The sequence below is a fragment of the Homo sapiens genome, chromosome 17 (genome assembly GCF_000001405.40).
Source record: "Homo sapiens chromosome 17, GRCh38.p14 Primary Assembly".
NCBI classification, from domain to species: Eukaryota; Metazoa; Chordata; class Mammalia; order Primates; family Hominidae; genus Homo; species Homo sapiens.
In genome coordinates this window covers 47,959,999-47,982,803 of record NC_000017.11, presented here as the reverse complement: position 1 = coordinate 47,982,803, position 22,805 = coordinate 47,959,999, and the positions used below count along the sequence as shown (strand labels likewise).

The following is a 22,805-nucleotide window of genomic DNA, read 5'->3' as shown; positions in this document are numbered from 1 at the left end:
CCCTCCTGAGTGTTGAGGCCAGAGTGCAGTCCACTTACCTCCTCTATACCCTGCTAGTCTGCGGAGTCTTACCTCCATGTTCAACACCAATATTTTTCCAATTCCCGGACTTCTCATTTCAGCCCCTGATCCCCCAGAAAGAGGTGACCAGGCAAAGATTGGGGGGAAGTGGTGGGTTGACATTAATTGATAGGAACGGCTTCGAGCAGTTCATGCTGCCTTATCTCTCTCTCCTTTGGCTGGAGTCCGCGGGGTCGGTGATTAATAGGCGCCATCACTCACTGTCCAGGACGGCTGAAAGGCAGTGGGGAGGGGGTGGCCCTCCCCAGAACTGAGATAACAAGCAGCAGGAATAATGAGTGGTGTCACTCCACTTTTCATTTTGATGGAAAGTCATTACGGGAGTCAACGCCAGCGACAAAGAGCCATGAATCAACTGCTCTGCTATGAAATTAAAATCGAATTGCCAGCCACCCCCAACCCCTACCCTTCCTGGGAAATGGGGATGGGTAGGTGGCTTGGGAGAGGGCTGCTATCCTGGGGTGGGCTCTATCCGATCACAGAGCGGGCAGTTATGGGCAGGAAGTGGACAGGCAGCCAGGGAAGGTGACAGCTCCTGTCTCCACCTTGTTTATCAGACCCTTCCTCCCCAAACCGCATTTTCCCTCTGCCTGGAGGTAAGCTGTGATTAAAAGGAAAATGCAGCTTTGCTGGCTCCAACAAGGCTGCTGCTTGACCGCTCCCCCAGGGCTTCTGGCCTGAGTCGGGCGGCCTGGGCCTGGTTATGGAAAGGGGCCCACACGTAGCCATCCCAGAGCCCCTTACTGAACCATTTGTAGATGTGGGGTCCTCTTTATCACCAGAAGCAAAGGGGAAAAGTCCTCAACTTGGGGCTCCACAGTGACAGCTGATGGCCTGGGGAGCCCACCTGGATCAGGGAGCCCACCTGGATCAAGAACCCCACGAAAACAGGTGCGAAGCCTCAACTGCAGGCTCAGAGAAGCAGCATAAGGAACTGTCAGTACTGAAGCAAGAGTTTTTTCCTCTTTTATTAAGTCCGCTATACTAACTAGAAGGAGAATCTGTGGTTTTCGCCTGATAGACCACAGGGCCAATCACCACAGCTTCTTGTAGAGAACATGGAGAGTGCCAAGATCACCATCAGGTGCCGCTTCCTTCCTGTGGCTTTCCATCTTCCAGTCAGCCTGGTCTTTTGCCTTGAAGGGCCCCAAAACAACAGCCCTGGCTATCATCTTCATCCCAAAAGCGGAGAAGATGGGCAGGCAAGAACACGGAGGGTGTCACAGAGAGGTTCCCATCAGGTTCACAGGGCGCCCGCTGTACCTCTTGGAGATGTCAGCTTCAATCTGAAAGAGTGATACCAAGTGGGCAGAAGCAGGGGTGCTCAGGGCCTCATTTTGCACAGACTGGGAGTCCTCCCACTGGCAGGCCTCCCTTTCCCATCTCACCAGCTTCTGCAGCTCCTTGGTCTTCTCCAGTAGCAGGTCCAGCTTAGGCTCCAGAGCCGCCTGCTCCTCAAGTGCCTCCTGCTGCTTCTGCACCATCAGCTCTTTCTTCAAAGCCAGCAGCTGGGACTGCTTCAGCTTTTGCTGGAGGAATTCAGTCACTCGGTCCACATACCTGTGCGGGGCACTCAGGTGAGTGCTGGGTTAGCTGTGCATCCTGAGCATTCCCATTCAGCTGCTGGGGAGGTGAGAGGCTCGGGAAACCAAACCCCCAACTGGCCGCTTACCCTCACATCCTTAAACCCTTTCCTTTTAAGGAAAACCCACTCCCAGTTCCCCTGTCCTACTCAGGAAGCAAGCAGATTCTTCCTGTATATGTGAAACCTCCCCCTCTTGTCCCAAAGAGAACCCCTATCCCCAGTGGATGGCAATGGCCAGGAGGCAGGGATGGGGTTTAAGGGGTCATGGAACAAGAGGAGGAATACAAGGAGGCAGAGCTGCTCAAGATGGCAGAGCCTTGCATCAAGGGGAAGCCAGACCTTGGTGAGGCCAGGATCATAAACAGGTGTTGCAGCTGAAGACTGGTAAGCTTGCCAATCAGATCCTCCAGCACTGACACCATGGTAACCATCTTCTCTTTGGTCTGGCCCTGCAGGATGGCTGGAGCCAGCTGGAACTGGCTCACAGACAGGACATCTGCCTCCTCACTCAACTCCACTGCTCTCTGGGCTAAGAAGATCTCAAGCTGAGGACAGAAGAAAGATTGGTTCAGGCTGTACATGATGGCTCACACTTGCAATTCCAGCACTGTGGGAGGCCAAGGCAGGAGGATCGCTTGAGGCCAGGAGTTCAAGACCAGCCTGGGAAACGATGAGACCCTGTCTCTACAGAAATGTTTAAAATTAGCCAAACATGGTGGTGTATGCCTGTAGTCCCAGCTACTCAGGAGGCTGAGGCGGGAGGATCACTTGAGCCCAGGAGTTTGAGGTTATAGTGAGCTATGATTGCTGCACTGCACTCCAGACTGGGCGACAGAGAAACTCTTTTTAAAAAAAAAGGAAGAAAGAAAAAAAGAAGATAAATTGGTTCAAACTGAGAGAAGAACTCAGAATCTAAGCCCTCGGACTACTCGAAATGCAAAAATGAGACATGAGGGCTAGACTCTGGGTAAGGAGTTTCCTCTGAACACTGTAAGCGCTAGGAGAGACTACTGTCACCCTTCAGTCCCCACCTCCTATCTCATCCTAACCCCAGACCTCTGTCCTTTCTCCCCAGCCTGGGATCAGATAACTGAGAATACAGAGACTCAAAGGGTTCTCTCTGCCCAGGGAAGGTATTTATTTTGTCTCCATGGGAGGAATGAGATTCAGGGAACAGAAATACATGTTTGAGAAGCACTGGATTAAGGCAAGGCTGAAAAGAATACAAGAGCCAGCCATATTAACTTATCAATCCTATTCTGCCGTTAAAACTTCACAGATATCTTTTGTCCTCTCCCCTTGAGGCTGGGAGGAGCCTCTGGGCAGAAAGAGGAGAGAACTGGGTGAGGACAGAACTTTCAGGAGGCTCTCCGAACCAGCAGGCTACTGGGAAGGGAGCAGATACAGAGATTAACAAAGACAGGACCCCGTCCTCCCAGCCTTACAACAAAGGTCCAAGAACGCTGGCTCCTTACGCTGGGCTGCTCAACACCTTAGCCACAGGGATCGTCCTTAAACACAAATGAGATCATGTTCCTAACCTGCTCGAAACCTCCAACAGCTTCCCAGTTCACTCAGAGGCAAACCAAGGTTCAGACGCTACATCTCTGAGCTCTTCTACTCCCCACCAGCTCTCTCTCCTCAGCCACACCAGCCTCCATGTTGCTGGTCAACTGTGCAAGGTCTGCTCCCACCTCGGGACCTCTGCACTTGCTCTCTCTGCCTGGGAAGCCCTTCTGCCAGACATCTGCATGGTTCTCTCTGCACCGCCTGCAGTCTTGATTACAGGTCACCTTCTCAATGAGGCCTTCCCTGACCACCAGATACAAAACCATAGCCCTTTCCAACATCCTCGTCATCCTCCCCTACTTTCTCTTTCTCCGTGGCATTTGGTGCCATCTAGCATCCTGCATATTTTATTTATTTATCTTCTTTCCAGTCTGCATTCCCCATTAGAATATAAGCTCCATGAGGTCAAGGACTTTGACTGTCTTATTCACCACCCAAGTTCTGGTGCCTAAGGTAGTGCCAGGTGCCTAGGAGGTACCTGATAAGTAACTGGATGAATAGGAGGCATCTAATACGTGAGGCTCCTGCTGTAGGACACAAATAGCACTCACACCCTTCACACAAACAGGAGGGGTCAGGTCAGGCATCTGGAGTGAAGCCACCTGTGCTGGTGCCATGCCTCCCCCCTGCATCTTCCAGAGATGACAGTACCTCCATGAGCTCATCAAGGAACTGATTCCGGGTCTCAGTGTATTCAAGCAGTGTCAGGGCATCTGGGCCCCTGGCAACACCTTCTGGAGCTGCCAGGAAGAGACAGAGAAGTGATAAAGGATCAGAGGACTGGAGAAGGAAAAGACCCTCAAGTGTGAGAAGCCCTGGAGGATTAATACGGACAGACTCACTGTGCTAAAGCCACTTCTTGTTCTAATCCAAGGGGGAAGGCTACCTTGTCCCAGGTGTCTCAGCTCTAATCAGGTACCACTTTCCAACTCCCAGACTGAGAGGAGGACCAGAGCTGGGTTCAGAGGGGTAGAAAGGCCGGCTCTCTGCTCTGGTGGACCGCAGGAGGTAAAGTTTCATCCTGCACCGCCCTCTAGTGGCTCAGACACCACTACGTCTTCTCTGCTGTTGGGGCGGGGGTCATGTCACACTCCAGGGCCCCGATCCCCCTAGAGCCCTCCTACCATAACAGCTGGCCCACATGTGGTCTCTAAAAAGTTGAGAGTTTCTAAACTCTCAACTTTTAAGAACCTCTCTTGGGCCAGGCACGGTGGCTCACACCTATAATCCCAGCATTTGGGAGGCCGAGGCAGGTGGATCACCTGAGGTCAAGAGTTCGAGACCAGCCTGACCAACATGGAGAAACCCCAACTCTACTAAAAAAATATAAAATTAGCTGTGCGTGGTGGTGCATGCCTGTAATCCCAGCTACTCGGGAGGCTGAGGCAGGAGAATAGCTTGAACCCAGGAGGTGGAGGTTGCAGCGAGCTGAGATCATGCCATTGCACTCCAGCCTGGGCAACAAGAGCGAAACTCCGTCTCCAAAAAAAAAAAAAAAACCTCTCTTGGTCCCCCTCAGCTCACATCCTCATCAAGGTTTTGAGAAACAGTTAAATGTGCAAGAAGCCTCATCTTAGCGCTGCATTTTTTGTTTCTAGACACGTGGGGGCCCTTGAGCACCCCACTTTTGCCAGGGCTGCAGGGGATGGTGCACTTACCCTGGGTTCCTGCTTCCAGCACTGTGATCTGCAAAGCAACAGCATCGTCTCCCCAGTCTATCCCATCACCTCCAGGATCCTGGAAGGAGAGCAAAGAACCACAGCAATGGGGGGAGAATTTTCCTGAGCCAAGGAGCCAGAATAAACCAAAGCCCTTGATGAGGTCAATGGCTGCACATTCCAACTCTATTAAGGATTTGCAGCCCTGACTTAGGTGCCAAAAATGGCAGTATGGCCCATCATCCCTGCTCTGTAGTGTTCCCACCTGCCTTTACCCCTACACCCTGTACCAAACACCAAGAAAAAGGACATCAAAATTTAACTCTCACATGGGCTGGGCGCAGTGGCTCACGCTTGTAATCCCAGCACCTCAGGAGGCCGAGGCAGGTGGATCACCTGAGGTCAGGAGTTACCAGCATGGCCAACACGGCGAAACCCTGTCTCTATTAAAAATACAAAAATTAGCCGGGCGCGGTGGCTCACGCCTGTAATCCCAGCACTTTGGGAGGCTGAGGCGGGCGGATCACGAGGTCAGGAGATCGAGACCATCTGGCTAACATGGTGAAACCCCATCTCTACTAAAAATACAAAACAATTAGCCGGGCGTGGTGGCGGGCGCCTGTAGTCCCAGCTACTCAGGAGGCTGAGGCAGGAGAATGGCGTGAACCCGGGAGGCAGAGGTTGCAGTGAGCCAAGATGATGCCACTGCACTCCAGCCTGGGCGACAGAGTGAGACTCTGTCTCAACAAACAAACAAACAAAATAAAAAATTAGAGGGGTGTGGTGGTGGGCGCCTATAATCACAGCTACTTGGGAGGCTGAGGCAGGAGAATCACTTGAACCTGGGAGGCGGAAGTTGCAGTGAGCCGAGATTGCACCACTGCACTCCAGCCTGGGCGACAGAATGAGACTCTGTCTCAAAAAACAAAACAAAACTCTGACATGTGACGTGTGAAACTCTGCCTCCCTTGGACTATACCTGGTCTTAGAGCTATGAACTTCAAGTGATGCCGTTACAGACACAAATGACACTTTTCTTATGGTTAGAGTAGTGATCAGAGAGAGACAGACTGAGAAGGCCTCCTCACCTTTGAATCTGATTCCGGGAAGATGCCCCAGTCGATTCCAGCAGCCTCGGCAGAGATGCCAGAGTCAGTCCCCTCAGACACTGCCTCTACCCCAAAGTCGCCCCAGTCAATCTGGAAAGGGAAAGAGAGTGTTAGCTCATGGAAGATGGATTTAAAAAGGGCCGGGCATGGTGGCTCATGTCTGTAACCCCAGTACTTTGGGAGGCCGAGGATAGTGGATTGCTTGAGCCCAGGAGTTTGAGACCAGCCTGGGCAATATGGCAAAATCCTGTCCCTACAAAGATGTTAATAAAAAATTAGCTAGGAGTGGTGGTGCAAACCTGTAATCCCAGCTATCTTGGAGGCTGACTTGGGAGGATCGCTTGAGGCTGAGAGGCAGAGGTTGCAGTCAGCAAGGATCATGCCACTGCACTCCAGCCTGGGCAACAGAGCAAGGCCCAGTCTCAAAAATAAATTAATTTAAAAAGGAGGGTGGGGCTGCCTTCCCACAGGCCTCAGCTGCTTCTGTAGAGAGCACACTGTTCAAATGCAGTGGCCTCTAAGCTACCCCAAAGAAAGCCCATCTTCAGAGAGCTCACATGATGGAGGTTCCGAGTTCAAAGCGAACCACCTTGCAAAGCCTCTGTGGCACTCACTCACCTATACTCAGAAAAATAAAGGAGTAGGGCCTCCTGGGCCCTTCTACCTACAGTCACTCTCACAGAAATCCTCCCTTCTTCTCTCTGGGTCTTGGGTTGGGCTGTTGGGGGTGGGGAGGGGACAAGCAGCTCCCACTCCACTCCTACAGCTCATCACAAGGCCCATCTTACCGCATCTTCTGCCACCTGCTCAGGAAGCTCCTCGAGGTGGGGTCGTTCCACCACAGAGGGCTCTGTCCCTGTCCTCCACTCGTACACCGTTGAGTTTCCCCGCTTCTGCACGAACCGCAGCATTGGCAACACCTGCTCTGTGGGGCTTCAACAGAGCACACAACTGACTCTCCTGCCGACCATGCGTAAGGCCAACACTGGGCTTTGGCCTGGGCCACATGGTCAAATGGGCAAGGCCCCCACAGGTTCAGGTGTGTAAAGAGTTCAAATGTTATATGGGAACAAGACAACTGGAGAAGGGTCATGAGCTGGGGAACACAGGCAAAGCACCCCCACCAGGAGAAGCTGAGGCCTCTCTACCTCTCACACACAAACCCCACAGACGCCTGGTACACGTCAATGGCTTCCCCCAGGGACTGCTGAGCCGCTGCCCCAATCTCAGCCAGCTGACTCGGCAGGTCCTTCACCAGGGCCAGCAGTTCTCCTCGGACATTTTCGCCCTAGAGAGGGGAGAAGAGGTGGAGTCCAACAGATTGAAGAAAACATCCAAAGACCGAAGAAAAGTAAGACACTGGCCCAAAGGGGGTGCAACCAGGCTGAGGGGTCAGACGGGGTCAGAGGAAGACAAGCAGGGGCCCAGGTGTCCTCTGGCTGCGAAGAGGCTGCCGCCGCTCACCGTGATGCCATACTGCTTGCAGGAGTGGTAGAACTGCTCCCGCATCTCGGCAGCCCCTGCCTGGCACTCCTCCTCCTTGCGGCTGTATTCTTGCTGCAGCTGCTGGCACTTGGCAATCTGCTTCTTCAGTGAGGGGATCTCATAGTTGACATTCCGAACCAGGAGGCTAGAGAGTTCCACTGAGAAGTGCCCAGGAAATTCAGCCCAGGACACCCCCACATGAGGCAGGCATGCCCCAGGATGCACACACATCCTTTGTGGTGGTGAAGAGCACGAAGTCAGCTTCCCAGCCCCACTTGTTCCCAGCTGTGGAGCCTAAGACAAGTTGTTTAACCCCTCTAATCCAACCCTCATCGGTAAAACAGCGACAATAACATTTATCATGAAGATGCAAGAGAGAATCCACATGACACACCAAGCACAATTCCTTGCATTTAGTAGATGCTCAGGAAATATTAGCCATTATTATTATTTATACTACACCCAACCCAAACACAGTTAGTCCTGTAGTTGCTCTCAGGCACTTGATATTCGCTCCCAGAAAAACCCGTGCCTCTTCTGCCTTGTGTAGAATGGGGGTGCGGGGGTGGGGGTGGGGGCAGCACACTCCCGCTAACCAAGAGGTGAGTGGTGGAGGACCCACACACACCTGCTCGCTGAGGCACGGCGAATGGCCACTACCGGCCTGGACCTCCTCCTTCCCCCAGCACTCCACTCAGGGAAAATCAATTCCATCAAAAACAATTGATTTTACCACCTACAAATGGGCAACATCTACACTCCAGTCTCTTCCCACTCACAGACTGTGCCTCCTATAAGCCTGGTATCTCAGAACTCTGAGAGTGGGCTTCCCCATGGATACCAGGGCTCCCAGGCCGGGCCACTTTACCTAAGTAGGTGTTGTCCTTCTCATACAGAGCTATAATCTCCTGCCAATCCTGAGTAAGAACAGAAAAACAATGTTAAGCCAGAAAAGCACTCGACAGCCACATCCCAGCTCAATCCCTAAACAGGGTAAGTTCTCCCAGCCTTTACATCACATCAAACACAAACTCCTTGTCCTTCTTTCAACTCTGCTGGCTGGACCACCCACTTTAAGAGTGCAGGCAATCCCTAAAGCAGTGGGTTTGAAAATTAAACTCAGGGATAGGATCCACTTTTGGAGTAAACTATAGAGACAGAGTGAAAGTTCAGGAAATATTCTATGTAGGCATCCCCACTGGAGCCTCAGAGAGACCACAGAGGCTATGACTCCTCGGATTGGATGTCCCCAACCACATACTACCGGCCCTTGGCCCACACTTGCCTTCATCCGCTGTGAAGAGTATCGGCCAAAAATATTCTTCGTGGAGGCCTCTGTGCCTTTGAGAAGGTCCAGGATTCTTAGGCAGTGAAAGTAGTGAATGTCTAGAAAGCAAGAGACGGGATTTCGAGAACTAAAGTATCTTCTTCACCTACTCTGGGCACTGCAGGTGGCTGATTCATGTATAATATACTGCCAGTAACTTTAGTGTGTAGCTTTTCCCTAAATCATTTCATAGTGGAAGAAGCCAGCATCTATACCTCAAATAAAAATCGCTCCCTCTCTAAAGGCCAGCCCTGGTGGCTAAATAACAAGAGAGTAGCTCAGCTGATACATACTACCTCAGCAAAGAGGGGACTCCAGTGACAGCCCCTAAGCACTCACAGGACCCAGACAGCAGCTGGGCGATCTCTTCGCTCTCTGGCATGTCCTGGATGGCAGCATTGATCTTCTCGCGGATCGTCAGCACCAGACTCTGCCATTTCAGGCTGCAGTGCCTTCTGTCCACCAGCCAATCTACATGAGAAGCACCCAAATTAGAGCATTCCCATTCACATCACCAAAATTCCATCACTAATTCGAGTGAAATACACTGAAATTAGTCTAAAAGTTTTCTTTACATTGGTTAAAGTATGGGGGTCATGGGAAGATGGGAATAAAGACAAGCCCAAAGAGATGCCTGGGGCTAAACCAGGCTCTGACAATCTGACTTCATTAGCAGTGTGATTTTTATAGAGCAATTGCCTCAACACAGGGATAACAAAAAGTTTAAATTGGTCCTGAAAGTGCCACTTTTGACCATTCTCAATTCCCCATAATATTTTTGCTTCTATGGGTAATTATATCTTTCTTCCTGACAAGAGGATGCTGCTCAACTTCCATTTCCTCAGGGCTGGGGTTAACCATGACAATGGAAAATACAAGATGGTTATGCCAAGTACTGGATGAATGAACAGCTGCAAAGCCCCTAATACCTACAGCGCCCTAAGGACTAGATAACATGACTCTGTTGTGAACAGTGAAGTACCACCCTGTACATGTGAATACCAATGGGACTGACCTCTCAAAGTCTGGGCCCAGATTTGTGGCTTCAGAGCCATGCATATTTCCTCAGTGAGAGCTAAGAGCTGAGCTTTGTGGTCAGATGGTCCTGGGTTCTCGTTATCAAGTTTCTTGAGCAAGTCTACTATTCTGTGCCTCAGTTTTCCCACATGTAAAATGGGGAATAATAAGACACTGACTAGAAAAGGGAATGCAGGTAAAACACTGAACAGTGTGCCTGAGACACGGCAAGGACTCAAAAAATGACAGTGATCATTTTTATCATGTCAAGTGCCTAAAACAGCACCTGGTACAAAAAAAAACCCTCAATGAATGGTGGTCATTTTATTGGTCCTTTTCATGACCAAGAACAAGCTCACACACCAAGACTGCACATGGGCTGAAGGGCCAGTACAAATCTGAAGGGAGGCTAAAGAAGCTTCCCCCGTGACCACCAAGCAGGACTGACTAAATGGCACTACAGAGTGGTGAATTCAGAACTTGAACTCTGCCAACCGGTCAAACGCTGGGGTCCCACACTAGTATCAGTTATACTCTCTCTGCTATATTCCTGTAAAGTTTTCAGAAAGAAAAATTCTGTTGATGTCACAGAACTAGAAGCAACGGACTGGGGTAGTCAAACAGACACCATCTTAAGGACAAGATTGGCATCAAATCCATGAATCCAATAAGCATTTTAAAATGCCAGGAGCTGTGTGATCAGATGAAGAGGCCTTCCCTGACTATGAACTGGGGAGGAAGTATGTAAGCCCCATACAGACAACCTGGAGATGGCCTGGACACTAAAAGGTTTTCATTTGCAACTGGGTCTTAGGTCCCTCTTCCTCCTAAAATCAAGGGGGAGGTGGAAGCTTTTTAAATGAGGTTTTTTTTTTTTTTCCTGGCATAATGCAAAAGGCATGGACAGTGGGTCAGACAGACTTAAGTTCCAATTCAGATGTGCCACTTAGTGGTTGACTGTTTTTTGTCTTCTTTTTGAGATGGAGTTTCGCTCTCGTTGCCCAGGCTGGAGTGCAATAGTGAGATCTCTGCTCACCGCAACCTCTGCCTCCGGGGTTCAAGCAATTCTCCCACCTCAGCCTCCCGAGTAGCTGGGATTACAGGCATGTGCTCCCATGCCCGGCTACTTTTTATTTTTATTTTTTTGTATTTTTAGTCATGGAGACATGGAGACAAGGTTTCTCCATGTTGGTCAGGCTGGTCTCGAACTCCTGACCTCAGGTGATTCGCCCACCTCGGCCTCCCAAAGTGCTGGGATTACAGGCATGAGCCACCGCGCCCGGCAGTGGTTGACTGTTTTTAAAGCGAGTCATTTATCCTGTCCCTGAATGATACGATAACATATGTTATTAAAGGAGAAAACGCAGGTCAAACAGACTGTACATATGGTTCGTTCCCGCTGCTATCAGGGAAGCAGGTCTGGCCACAGATGGGGCATAGAACGAGGCCAGTGGTCAGCATCTCGACTCAGGCTTTCAGGGGTCAGAGCTCCCGGCTATTGGACACAGGGGGCAACGCACAGGCCTCCCCCCGACAGCCAGCTGCGCGGTGGCGCCCCCTCCTACCGAGCAGCTTGCTGGTCTGGATGTCGATGGGCACGTGCTGATGGTCCTGGCGGGAAACACGGTGAGGAGGGGGGCGTGAGCGCGGAGAGAGGACGTACCACTCGCGCGCTCATTTCAACGTCCCAACCACCACCCTGCAGGGCCAGAACGGGGCCAGAGCGATGGGCTGGGTTGAGCCGCTTCCGGAGGGAGACCGGAGACACAGGTTAGGGGTCCGCGGCCAGTCCCCAGCACACCCAGCTCCTGTCCCCACACCTCCATCTTTCCTCCACTTCCGCTTCAGGCTGGAGACTGTGGCCCGCCCCGCCCTACCACCAATCCAGTGGCGTTGTGGCCGAGCCTCCGTTTAGACACAAACGGGCATCCTTCGGCCACGTCGCCGCCTTCCGTACAGCCAATCAGGGTTTACGCTCCACTCAGGCCTCAAGCCCCGCCCACCCCAGGCTCCGAATGGCTGAGCTCGGGAGGGGCGGGAGAATGGAGACAGCCAATTGGAGACGCGAGGCGGGCTCAGGGCAGGGGACGGGAGGGGGTGCGCTGCAGCGGCCGTGGGATTGCGACAGGCGGCGCTCGAGAGCCCAGCCTGGCAGCCGCTTCCCCTGGCGGGCACTGGGTCTTCTCCACGCAGATTGAGACGTCTGCTGGCGGGGTCCTAGCGCCGATCTGGGAGGCCGTTGCAAATACCTTCTTCCCTCCTTGCGTCGCTTTACCATCCAGAGCAGTGTGCAGGTCTCTTGTGGCACTTGTCATGCTTTGCCTCCTCATTCAGTTTCTCTAATAGACATGGTTGAGCACCTGCAACGTGTTGGGCGATTAGGGCAGGGAAGGGGAAGGAAGAGAGTCGGTGAGACGTCCCAAAGAGAACACCTACATTGAGTCTAAACGAAGAGCTGAAGATAGCTGGGTGATGTGGGAAGAGGAGTTTTAGGTGGAGGAGACTACACAGACAAAGCTTAGGTGGCCACAAACTGCAAGAGGGGTGCAAGCAACAACAGGCAGGCAGGACGGGCAACGTAATTTGTGAGGTCCAGTGCAAAATGGAAATGCACAGCTGCTTGTTACAAAATGATGAAGAATTTCAAGATGAAGTCGGCTCCGCGGGCAGGCCAACCTCTATACCGTAGATGGTTTGAGGCAGCGAGTGGCTAGAGGAGAGGCTGTAAGGGTGGAAAGGCCATATCAAAGGGAGACTTATTAAGGAACTTGGACTTCATCCCTTCAGACAGAGGAATCACAGAAGGGGTTTGAGGCAGGGAGGAACCTGTACAGATAGGCTGCTGGGATGATGGATGCATGGGAGATAAGACTGGGGACAAGGAGGCTGGAAGGAGGTTGTTATCGAGGGATTATAGCCTGAGCTGGGACACAAGATATGAGGAGGAAGGGGAAGGGCTGGATCTGAGGAATATTTAGGAGGAAAATGTATAGGACTTGGCAATTGATTGGCTGTTTGGGTGGAGGAGAGAGACACTAAGGATGACACCTAGGTGATTAGGTGGGAACCACCACCTGAGACAGGGATGCAGGATGCTGAGCAGGTGTTGGGGAGGAGGGGGTCTAGCTTTGAACCTAGTCTGGCAATGCTGGGAGACCCCCAGATGGAAAGTGTGCAGAAGGCACTTGGGTCTATAATTTTGGAGTTCGAGGGAGTTGTCGGGGCTGGAGATACAGCTTGGAGAGTCACAAGCTGGCTAATCTGTGGTCCGAGTGGTGGCTGAAGCTAAGGGAGAGTCTGAGATTGGCCAAGAAGTGGGTAGAGTAAGGAGGGAGGGTAGGCTGAGGCCAGATCCCCCAGGATCTCACAGCGCTGGGTATGCCTTTTCTTTTTTTTTTTTTTTTTTTTTTTTTTTTGAGACGGAGTCACGCTCTGTCGCCCGGGCTGGAGTGCAGTGACACGATCTCGGCTCACTGCAAGCTCTGCCTCCTGGGTTCACGCCATTCTCCTGCCTCAGCCTCCCCAGTAGCTGGGACTACAGGCGCCCGCCACCACGCCCGGCTAATTTTTTTGTATTTTTAGTAGAGACGAGGTCTCACCGTGTTAGCCAGGATGGTCTCGATTTCCTGACCTCGTGATTCTCCCGCTTCAGCCTCCTAAAGTGCTGGGATTACAGGCGTGAGCCACCGCGCCCGGCCCTGGGTATGCCATTTCTAAATATTCCTTCCCCAGCTCCTGTTCACCACAGCACAACACTTGAGGCTTAGTAAATTTTTGATTGAAATGCATAGTGTGATACAGCAGCAGGAAGACCTAGATTCTGCCCAGTGAGGTCTTGGACCATTTCTATAACCTATCTGATAGCCACAGTTTCCCCACATGGAGATAACAGCTATCCTATCTCAGGGTATTTCTGTTTAGAGGCTTAAATAAACACACTAGTAACTCATGACAGTTTACAACATACTGTGGCTGTATTTCTCATGCTTTGTAAACTCTCCCTATATGAAATATCATATATGGGCCAGGCGCGGTGGCTCACGCCTGTAATCCCAGCACTTTTGGGAGGCTGAGACAGGCGGATCACCTAAGGTCAGGAATTCGAGACCAGCCTGATCAACATGGTGAAATCCCATCTCTGAAAAAAACAAAAAACACGCTGGGCACGGTGGCTCACGCCTGTAATCTCGGCACTTTGGGATGCTGAGGCGGGTGGATCACGAGGTCAGGAGTTTGAGACCAGCCTGATCAACATGGTGAAACCCTGTCTCTACTAAAAATACAAAAATTAGCTGGGCGTGGTGGCGTACGCCTGTAATCCCAGCTACTCAGGAAGCTGAGGCAGGAGAACTGCTTGAACCCGGGAGGCGGAGGTTGCAGTGAGCCGATATTGCGCCACCGCACTCCAGCCTGGGCGACAGAGTGAGACTCCATCTCAAAAACAAAACAAAACAAAAAACAAACAAACAAACAAAAACAAAAACCATCCCGGCGTGGTGGTGCATGCCTGCAGTCCCAGCTACTCAGCTACTCGGGAGGCTGCGGCGGAAGAATCACCTGAACTTGGGAGGCGGAGGTTGCAATGAGCCCAGATTGCGCCACTGCACTCCAGCCTGGGCAACAGAGTGAGACTCCATCTCAAAATATATATATATGTCATATATGATCATTATTATTATAGAACGGATTGAAAAACTGCTCTGAAAATGGCTCATAGAGCTGAATTAAGGGCCTTTTCAGGGATCTTTCATGGGAATTTGGCTCCCATCTGAGTCAGCCTGACTCAGACTGTAGGAATTGCTCAGGCTCCTCCATGATTAAACACACACTTAACTGGGCCCCAACTATGTGCTCGGGGCTGTCTGGGACATCTCAAGAGCAAGGCACTGCCCTGCCCTCAAGGTGTATCTATCTCTCTTCCTTGAACCAACAGGCTGGGCAGAACAGGACAGGGTGGGTCTGGAAGACCCAGCCCAGGTGAGTTGATGGAAGCAGGGACCACCAGCACTTCAGCCCCACCCACAGCTCCCCAAGGTGACTCACGTGGAGCAGAAGGATGTTTGAGAACAGTTCTGCCCAGCTACTGACTCCAGGGAGGCTGTCCCAAAGCCAGAGGCTCTGGGAGAGAACCTGCCTCTGCTGACTGCAGAGGCTCTGGGGGAGAGCCTGCCAAAGGCACATGCTTCTGTGTTCCCAAAGAGTGTAGGAGCATGGGCCTTTGGCGGGTTTCTGCACTTTTCCAAGGCCACAGGGAACTTCAGGGTCTGTGGGTAGATAAGCACATAATTGGTCTGGCATCCAGGGCATCGACTCTATCTCCTTCAGGAGACTTTAGTCATCGGGGCTCCCAGCAGCTAGAAGGAGGCAGAGAGAGGTATGGTAGGTTTCTGACCAGGAATCTCTCAGTTCTCTGCTGATTTAGCAGATGGGACCCTGGGAGAGGGGCAGCACATGTAGAGAGGTGAGGAGGATATACCAGGGCTGCACCAGCTTTGGACAAGGAAGCACAGAGCCCCGAGGCACCGTGTAGGCAGCCTACCTTGCCATCCATTATTGTTGTTGTTAGCTTGCTTATTACGTGATAAACATGCCCACGTGCCAGTGTAGATCTAAATGTTTTACAAGCCTTATCTAATGTGATTCTTCTAACAACCTTATAATGTGGGTACCATCATTAACCAGATTTTAAAGGCAAGGAAGCCAAAGATTAATTACGTAACATGTTGAAAATCATCCAGTGGGCCAGGTGCGGTGGCTCACGTCTGTAATCCCAACACTTTAGAAGGCCAAGGTGGGTGGATCACAAGGTCAAGAGATCGAGACCATCCTGGCTAACACGGTGAAACCCCGTCTCTACTAAAAACACAAAAAATTAGCTGGGTGTGGTGGCACGTGCCTGTAGTCCCAGCTACTCAGGAGGCTGAGGCAGGACAATCACTTGAACCCAGGAGGCGGAGGTTGCAGTGAGCCGAGATCGCGCCACTGCACTCCAGCCTGGGTGACAGAGAAAGACTCCGTCTCAAAAAAAAAGAAAAGAAAAGAAAATCATACAGATCATACAGTGGGCCAGGCGCGGTGGCTCACACATGGAACTCAACACTTTGGGAGGCCGAGGCGGGTGGATCACCTGAGGTCAGAAGTTTGAGACCAGCCTGGCCAACAAGGTGAAACCCCAACTACTAAAAATACAAAATTAGCTGGGCGTGGTGGCACATGCCTGTAATCCCAGCTACTCGGGAGGCTGAGGCAGAAGAATCCCTTGAACCTGGGAGGCAGAGGTTGCAATGAGCCAAGATTGTGCTACTGCGCTCCAGCCTGGGAAACAGAGAAAGACTCAAAAAAAAAAAAAAAAGGAAAATCATACAGTGGGTAGTTGATGAGGCTGGGATTCAAACCCAGGCCTGTTGGGCTACCCAGCCTGCATTCTTCTTCTCTGTGTGATGTGCCTTTGCTTCTCCTGCACCCCTGCCTACCCCTTTGGCTCAGCCACAACAGCTTCAGGTCTCTTCCTCCCTTGGGCCTGATTCCTATTTTCTCCCCAGTTGTTGTGCCAGACACTCAGAACTCCCACCCCTGCAGGCCCTGCCCCTTTCCAAAGTTCATTCTTACCACACCCCATTCTGGGAAAGGGAGCCCATTACTTATCCTCCTGCAATATCCATAAAAGAAGGCTTACTTTCAACATTCAAATAACTCATTTATTTTATCTGCTATATTTTTATTACTTTATGGTCTGTGTGTTTGCTCACAGCCACACTGACTATGGGGTGTGGTGTGTGTGCCTGTGTGTGTGTGGTGTATCTGCCTGCTAGGCTGGAAGCTCTGGAAACATAGCAGCCTTGGGCCTCTTGCTGCCCGGAGTGTAACCACTGTGTTGCTTTTTTCTTTCTTTCTTTCTTTCCTTTTTTTTTTTTGAGACAGAATCTCGCTCTGTCACCCAGGCTGGAGTGCAGTGGTGTGATCTCAGCCCACTGCAACCTCCTCCTCTTGGGTTCAAGCGATTCTCCTACCTCAGCCTCCCAAATAACTGGGATTACAGGCACGTGCCACCATGCCTGGCTAATTTTTGTATTTTCAGTAGAGATGGGGTTTCACCATGTTGGCCAGGGTGGTCTTGAACTCCTGACCTCGTGATCTGCCCACCTTGGCCTCCCAAAGTGCTGGGATTACAGGCGTGAGCCACCGTGCCCGGCATGTTGCGTTTTTCAGTCTGTCTCCCCACCTAGTCTGCGAGTACCTGTGGGCTGGGAAGCCAAAGCAGACTTGTTCATCTCTATAACCCCAGCATCCGGTGTGACTCTTGACATTGAGTGTCAGGAGCTTAATGGATGCTTGTAATGAAGGAAAGCCATATGCAGGAAGGCATTTGATGTTGGTGGTAGTTGTGATAAGTGGGGACCATGATTGCTTTGTCTTGGGACAAGAGGTTCAAGGTCCCCAGATCCTTTTCTCATCCTTTCCTCTACAGCTCAGGACTTGGAGTCAACATCCTCTGAGCCTCTTGGGAGTGAAGGGAGGAAATCAGGGAGAAGAAATTAGGGGTGGTCAGCTTCACGAGTTTGGTACAGACCAGTGAAAGTCTATGTGGGGCCAGTCACCTGGGTCATGCTCTGGGGCCACTCATTTTACCCTTAACTCTGGCAACTCATGCCCTCCTGGCCACCTCATCCCTCCACCTTTGTTAGTCTTCTGGGGAAAAAGAACTCCCTGGGTGGCTTCATGAAATGGGTCCTGTTTGTCATCTTCTAAGGATGCCACTGTATTTCATTATTTCACCATGCTTATCATGGAAGGCGGTGGGAATCTAATCTGCTAAGAAAAGGAAAACCAAGGATACTACCAAACCACCCATCCATTCACCTCTTTTCCATTGGAGTTCAACTTTATGCACCCTGAGCACCTTATCACAAAGACACAGTCCTAGGCCTCAAAGGAAGTAAAAGTATGTTGAGTGAGGGGCCCACCACCTTCCATATCCCATGACGACATCTCCAGAGTGTGTCGTCACAGAGTGTGAGAGTACTGTGCTCATGCATAGAAGGTGCTCAAAAAATCTATGCAAAGCAAATAAGAGGTACCTGTAATCCCAGCGCTTTGGGAGGCCGAGGCAGGCAGATCACCTGAGGTCAAGAGTTCAAGACCAGCCTGGCCAACATGGCAAAATCCCGTCTCTACTAAAAATACAAAAACACAGAAAATTAACTGGGTGTGGTGGTGCCTGCCTGTAGTCCCAGCTACTTAGGAGGCTGAGGCACAAGAATCACTTGAACCCAGGAGGCAGAGGTTGCAGTGAGCTGAGGTCATGCCACTGCACTCCAGCCTGGGCAACAGAGCAAGACTGTCTCAAAAAAAATAAAAAAGCTAATAAGAGGTCCACTCAGAGATGCTCAGAGTGCTAAGGGAACAGAAAGAAGGAGACGGAGTATCCAACTCAGCATGGGAAAAGGCAAAGGAGAAGGACAGAACACCACCAGAGCAGGCTCTTAGGAGAAGTAACACTTGAGCTGAGTCTTGCAAGATGGCATGAATTGTAATAGAAAGGAGAGGAGAGAAAAGAGGAAGGGAGGTGACAGGTGTCATTCTGGGAAAAAGGAAAAGCAAGGACAAAGCCTAGAGGTGAGAGAATGGCTGTTCCAGAAGGAAGAAGTTTATTATGGGAGCATGGATGTTTATGGGGAGAGTGGAGAGAAATTAGGTTGAAGAGACCGGCAAAGGGAGATCTTGAAGAACTTTCAGGTCCATTATAAAGGGTTGAAATTTAATTCCATAGGTTAGGATTCCCAATCAATGGGCAAGCAGGTCCCTGGAAAGCTGTAGAAATATGCAAAGGTGGGAAGATCGCTTGAGCCAAGGAGTTTGAGGCTGTAGTGAGCTATGACTGTGCCAACTGTATTCCAGCCTGGGTGACGGAGACAGACCCTGTCTGTAAAAAAATAAATAAATAAATAAAATAGAATTATGCAAATGTGCCAGGGATCCATAAATGCAATGATTTTTTTTTAAGTCAGTGGTTACTAGAAAGACAACTCCCATATGATGAGATGCAGAAATTTTTCTACATTGAAGAAAATGGTCATTTTGGCTGGGCATGGTAGCTCACACCTGTAATCCCAGCATTTTGGGAGGTTGAGGAAGGAGGATCACTTGAGTCCAGGAGTTCGAAACCAGCCTGGGCAACATAGTGAGACCCTGACTCAGAAAAAAAAAAAAAAAGAGAAAGAGAGAGAGGAAGGAACGAAGGGAAGAAGGAAGGAAAGATCATTTCAGAGAATATGACCAATAAATGTATGAAAAGATGTCCAACCTTACTAGAAACAAAGTGTCTAGTTTCCTGGTGCTGCTGTAACAAATCACCACAAACTGGGTGGCTTAAAACAATAGAAATTTACTCTCTCACAGGGCCGGGCTCAGTGGCTCAAGCCTGTAATCCCAGTACTTTGGGAGGCCGAGGCGGGTGGATCACCTGAGGTCAGGAGATCGAGACCACTCTGGCTAACACGGTGAAACCCTGTCTCTACTAAAAATACAAAAAATTAGCTGGGCGTGGTGGCGGGCGTCTATAGTCCCAGCTACTCGGGAGGCTGAGGCAGGAGAATGGCGTGAGCCCGGGAGGTGGAGGGTGCAGTGAGCCGAGATCGCACCACTGCACTCCAGCCTGGGCGACAGAGAGACTCTGTCCCAAAAAAAAAAAGAAAAGAAATTTACTCTCGCAGTTCTGGAGGCTTGAAGTCTGAAATCCAGGTGTCAGCATGGTTGGTTCCTTGCAGAGGAGATGCTGTCTGTGCCTCTCTCCTGGCTTCTGTGGCTGCTGGCAGGCCTTGGTATCCTTGGCTTGCAGGTACCTCCATTGTCACATGGCTTCCATTGTCACATGACATTCTTCCTGTAAGGACACTACTCCTCAACCTTAGGGCCTACACTAACCCAGGTTGACTACATCTGAAAACCACATCTGGAAACCCTAGTTCCAATGCAGGTCACATTCTGGGGTTCTGAGTGGACGTGAATTTTCGGGGACACTATTCAATCCAGTACACTAGGGAAATGCAAATATAAAGGACATGGGCCTGGTGAAATGGTGCAATGGTGCACACCTGTAATCCCAGCACTTTGGGAAGCCGAGGTGGGTGGATCATCTGAGGTCAGGAGTTCCAGATCAGCCTGTCCAACATGGTGAAACCCCGTCTCTACTAAAAATGCAAAAATTAGCTGGGTGTGGTGGTGCCCACCTGTAAGTCCAGGTACTCGGGAGGCTGAGGTGGGAGAATTGCTTGAACCTGGGAGGTGGAGGTTGCAGTGAGCCAAGATGGTACCACTGCACTCCAGCCTGGGAAACAGAGCGAGACTCCATCTCTAAATAAATAAATGACATGAAGAAGACCACTTCACTTCCATCATACTGGCAAAAATGGAAATGTCTGTGTCATGGGTTGCATTCTACAGAAGTAGGTGGTGTTTTGGGGGGCAAGATGTTTATTAGGAATCATTTCCTGTGAGAGGAATCAGATGGAAGCAATGCTGGGCAGAGGCAGAAATCCAACTGCACTGCAGGCCCAGCAAAGCTTTAGTCAATGTGGTGGAGGCCTCTGAGTGAATATTGCTCCGAGAATGTCCTTCATGGGGCTGAAATGGCTGGGCTTTTTTATCCCTAGAAGTGCGCTGCTCCAGAATGGTAGCCCTAGGGCAAGGTGGCTTTCTGTCGCTGAGACAGACCTTGAAGGAGCTGATGGCCAACTGCTGACCACACTCCTGTGACCTGGCAGCAAGTCCTTCCCTGAAAAAGGATGTAGGAAGCCCACTTATGTCTGACAATACAGAGAGGTTGTCTGAATGAAGAACGTGGAAGGCTGAAAAATGATCCCTCCAAAGATAACCATGTCAAATCTCCAGAAGCTATGAGTGTGACCTTATTTGGAAAAAGACTCTTTGCACATGTGATTATGTTAAACGTCTTGAGATGAGAGAATCCTGGATTATCTGGGTGGACCCTAAATGCCATCCCAAGTGTCCTTATAAGAGAGAGGTGGAGGGAGTTTAGCCAAACCCACAGAAGTGAAAACAAAGGAGGCAGAGATTGGAGTGATGTGGCCACAAGCCCAGGAGTGCCTGCAGTCACCAGGAGCTTGGAAGAATCAAGGACAGGTTCTCCCTGGAGCCTCCAGAGGGATCACAGCACTGGCAACTCGTTGGTCTTGACCAGTTAAACTCATTTCTGACTTCTGACTTACTGGATAGGTCAGAAGAATCCATTTCTGTTGTTTCAAGCCATGGAGTTCATGGTAACTCATGGCAGCTACAGGAAACGAATGCAAACAGCAACAGGAAAATTGCTGACGGGGTGCAAATGGGTGTACTCGGTTAGAGAATCCACCTTAAGGGGCAGCTGTGGGGATCAAGAGTTCACACCTATGGAACATTTGGAAGAGTGCCTGGAACACAGTCCCCCTAATATTGGCTGCTCATACCCCCACTCCCTGCTGAGATCTCCTTGAAGGGAACGCCTCGCATGAAAACAAGGAGAAAGCCCCCTCCAATGGCAGCCCCACCACCCACCTCAGATCAGAATGCAGCTTCTGCCTGCCCCTGCCTCCCCACTGCACCTGGTGTAGCCCACCAGAGACTGATCTTTGGTCTTGCCCCACCTGTCACCTCGACCAGGCTGGACACCCCCAGGATCTCCAATCTCCTGGCCTTCCAGAGAATGGGGAGAGCTGAGGAGAATGGCAGCACCTCTCTTCTCCGTGTTTTAGGGAAGAAATGTCCCTGAAGCCTAGATCTACTTGCTGGGCAGAGATCTGTAAAATGGGATGGATATGCCAGGCTGATTAGATTTGTAATGCAATGGGGCCCCATGGCTGTGTACCCCAAAAGGGCACCAAGGTCCTTGGGGCTCCCTTAGGTGAATTTAACTTGCTTTACTCAACAAGAACACATTTCTTGAGACGTGCACACTGCATGTATATAGCATGTTACACTTAAACCTAGTTTTAGAAAGGTGTGCTTAAAGGTGATTTTTTTTTTTTTTTAGACAGAGTTTCACTCTTGTTGCCCAGGCTGGAGTGCAATGGTGCAGTCTCGCCTCACTGCAACCTCCGCCTCCCAGGTTCAAGTGATTCTCCTGCCTCAGCCTCCCAAGTAGCTGGGATTACAGGCATGCATCAAAATGCCTAGCTAATTTTGTATTTTTAGTAGAGATGGGGTTTCTCCATGTTGGACAGACTGGTCTCAAACTTCCGACCTCAGGTGATCTGCCTGCCTCAGTCTCCCAAAGTGCTGGGATTACAGGTGTGAGCCACTGTGCCTGGCCAAAGGTGAAAATTTTTATAAAGCAATAAAGTGGCCTGTACGTGAGGAGTTATATTCGTAGCTCACAGCCTTATCTCAAACTTTCCTCCCAGCCCTGCTCCTCCCAGAAATAAATGCCCTGAAGGCCAGGGGTTGTGCCTGACTTCCCAGGCTGGCCCCTCCCTGGTAATGCGCTAGGTCCTCACACCTGCACCTGGGACTGGTGGCACTTGGGAAGGGAGAGCCACAGGTAGGCCTGCCACGGCACTTATGGGGGCTCCTTCTCCAGTGTGGAGCCAAGAGAACAGGAATCTGCTCCCCTGGGCTCAGACATCAGAGAGGCTGGATCTCCGAGGCATGGGGAATTAGTACCTCCAGGGCAAGCCCTTCCTTCTATGGATGGGGAACGGGGAACTGACTCTGAGTTACCATCCCCCAGACCAAAGCCCATCCCACTAGCCTTCTGGTCTCTTCCCAACACCTGAGCTGGAAGGAGTTTTTGTCTTCTGAACCAGATATCCACTCTGAGTAGACGAGGCTTTTATAGAAAGTGACAGATCTAGGAGGCTGTGGGCACCTTTCTGGGACAGCTGTGTGTACTTTGCACTAGAGGTAGGGGACCTTACAAAATTATATCCTTCAATTCAAATCACCCCCCAGGGAGATGATAGCATGACAGCAAGCCAGCT

General features: G+C 50.8%; 1 protein-coding gene across 7 annotated transcripts, besides 3 other annotated features; it reads right to left on the bottom strand.

Moving 5' to 3' along the window:
- Nucleotides 1-1,022: 1,022 nt before the first annotated feature.
- On the bottom strand, nucleotides 1,023-14,900 carry CDK5RAP3 (CDK5 regulatory subunit associated protein 3). 7 transcript variants are annotated; one of them, XM_011525297.1, is made up of 15 exons: nucleotides 14,875-14,900; nucleotides 12,081-12,191; nucleotides 11,397-11,442; nucleotides 9,154-9,285; nucleotides 8,773-8,873; nucleotides 8,356-8,404; nucleotides 7,467-7,645; nucleotides 7,151-7,290; nucleotides 6,791-6,935; nucleotides 5,982-6,092; nucleotides 4,894-4,972; nucleotides 3,887-3,975; nucleotides 2,006-2,211; nucleotides 1,470-1,641; nucleotides 1,023-1,367 (listed from the first exon to the last, which is right to left on the bottom strand). In XM_011525297.1, the coding sequence occupies exons 2-15, from the start codon at nucleotides 12,159-12,161 to the stop codon at nucleotides 1,302-1,304; spliced, it is 1,596 nt and encodes a 531-aa protein (XP_011523599.1). In that variant the 5' UTR covers nucleotides 12,162-12,191; nucleotides 14,875-14,900; the 3' UTR covers nucleotides 1,023-1,301. The 7 variants fall into 7 exon arrangements, with proteins under 7 accessions (XP_011523599.1, NP_001265126.1, NP_788276.1 ...); NM_001278197.2 differs by lacking the exon at nucleotides 14,875-14,900 and having other exon boundaries at nucleotides 12,081-12,276; NM_176096.3 differs by lacking the exons at nucleotides 12,081-12,191; nucleotides 14,875-14,900 and adding an exon at nucleotides 11,652-11,691.
- Nucleotides 6,905-7,405: an enhancer, noted in NCBI's record as "H3K4me1 hESC enhancer chr17:46052765-46053265 (GRCh37/hg19 assembly coordinates)". NCBI's record gives its function as "activates a minimal SCP1, AML or CMV promoter by ChIP-STARR-seq in naive H9 embryonic stem cells {active_cell/tissue: H9 hESC(naive)}" and the evidence as "EXISTENCE:reporter gene assay evidence [ECO:0000049][PMID:30033119]".
- Nucleotides 10,702-11,329: an enhancer, noted in NCBI's record as "H3K27ac-H3K4me1 hESC enhancer chr17:46048841-46049468 (GRCh37/hg19 assembly coordinates)". NCBI's record gives its function as "activates a minimal SCP1, AML or CMV promoter by ChIP-STARR-seq in primed H9 embryonic stem cells {active_cell/tissue: H9 hESC(primed)}" and the evidence as "EXISTENCE:reporter gene assay evidence [ECO:0000049][PMID:30033119]".
- Nucleotides 11,751-12,040: a silencer, noted in NCBI's record as "silent region_8645". NCBI's record gives its function as "represses an Ori minimal core promoter by ATAC-STARR-seq in GM12878 lymphoblastoid cells {active_cell/tissue: GM12878}" and the evidence as "EXISTENCE:reporter gene assay evidence [ECO:0000049][PMID:35858748]".
- Nucleotides 14,901-22,805: the final 7,905 nt, after the last annotated feature.

Coding starts and splice junctions, on each gene's coding strand:
- CDK5RAP3 (XM_011525297.1), bottom strand. CDS start 12,161: ATGAGGAGGCAAAGCATGACAAGTGCCACAAGAGACCTGCACACTGCT. Junction 7,646..8,355: donor GAAGGACAACACCTACTTAG/GTAAAGTGGCCC, acceptor GGCACTTCTCAG/TGGAACTCTCTAGCCTCCTG. Junction 4,973..5,981: donor TCCCGGAATCAGATTCAAAG/GTGAGGAGGCCT, acceptor CTCTCCTTCCAG/GATCCTGGAGGTGATGGGAT.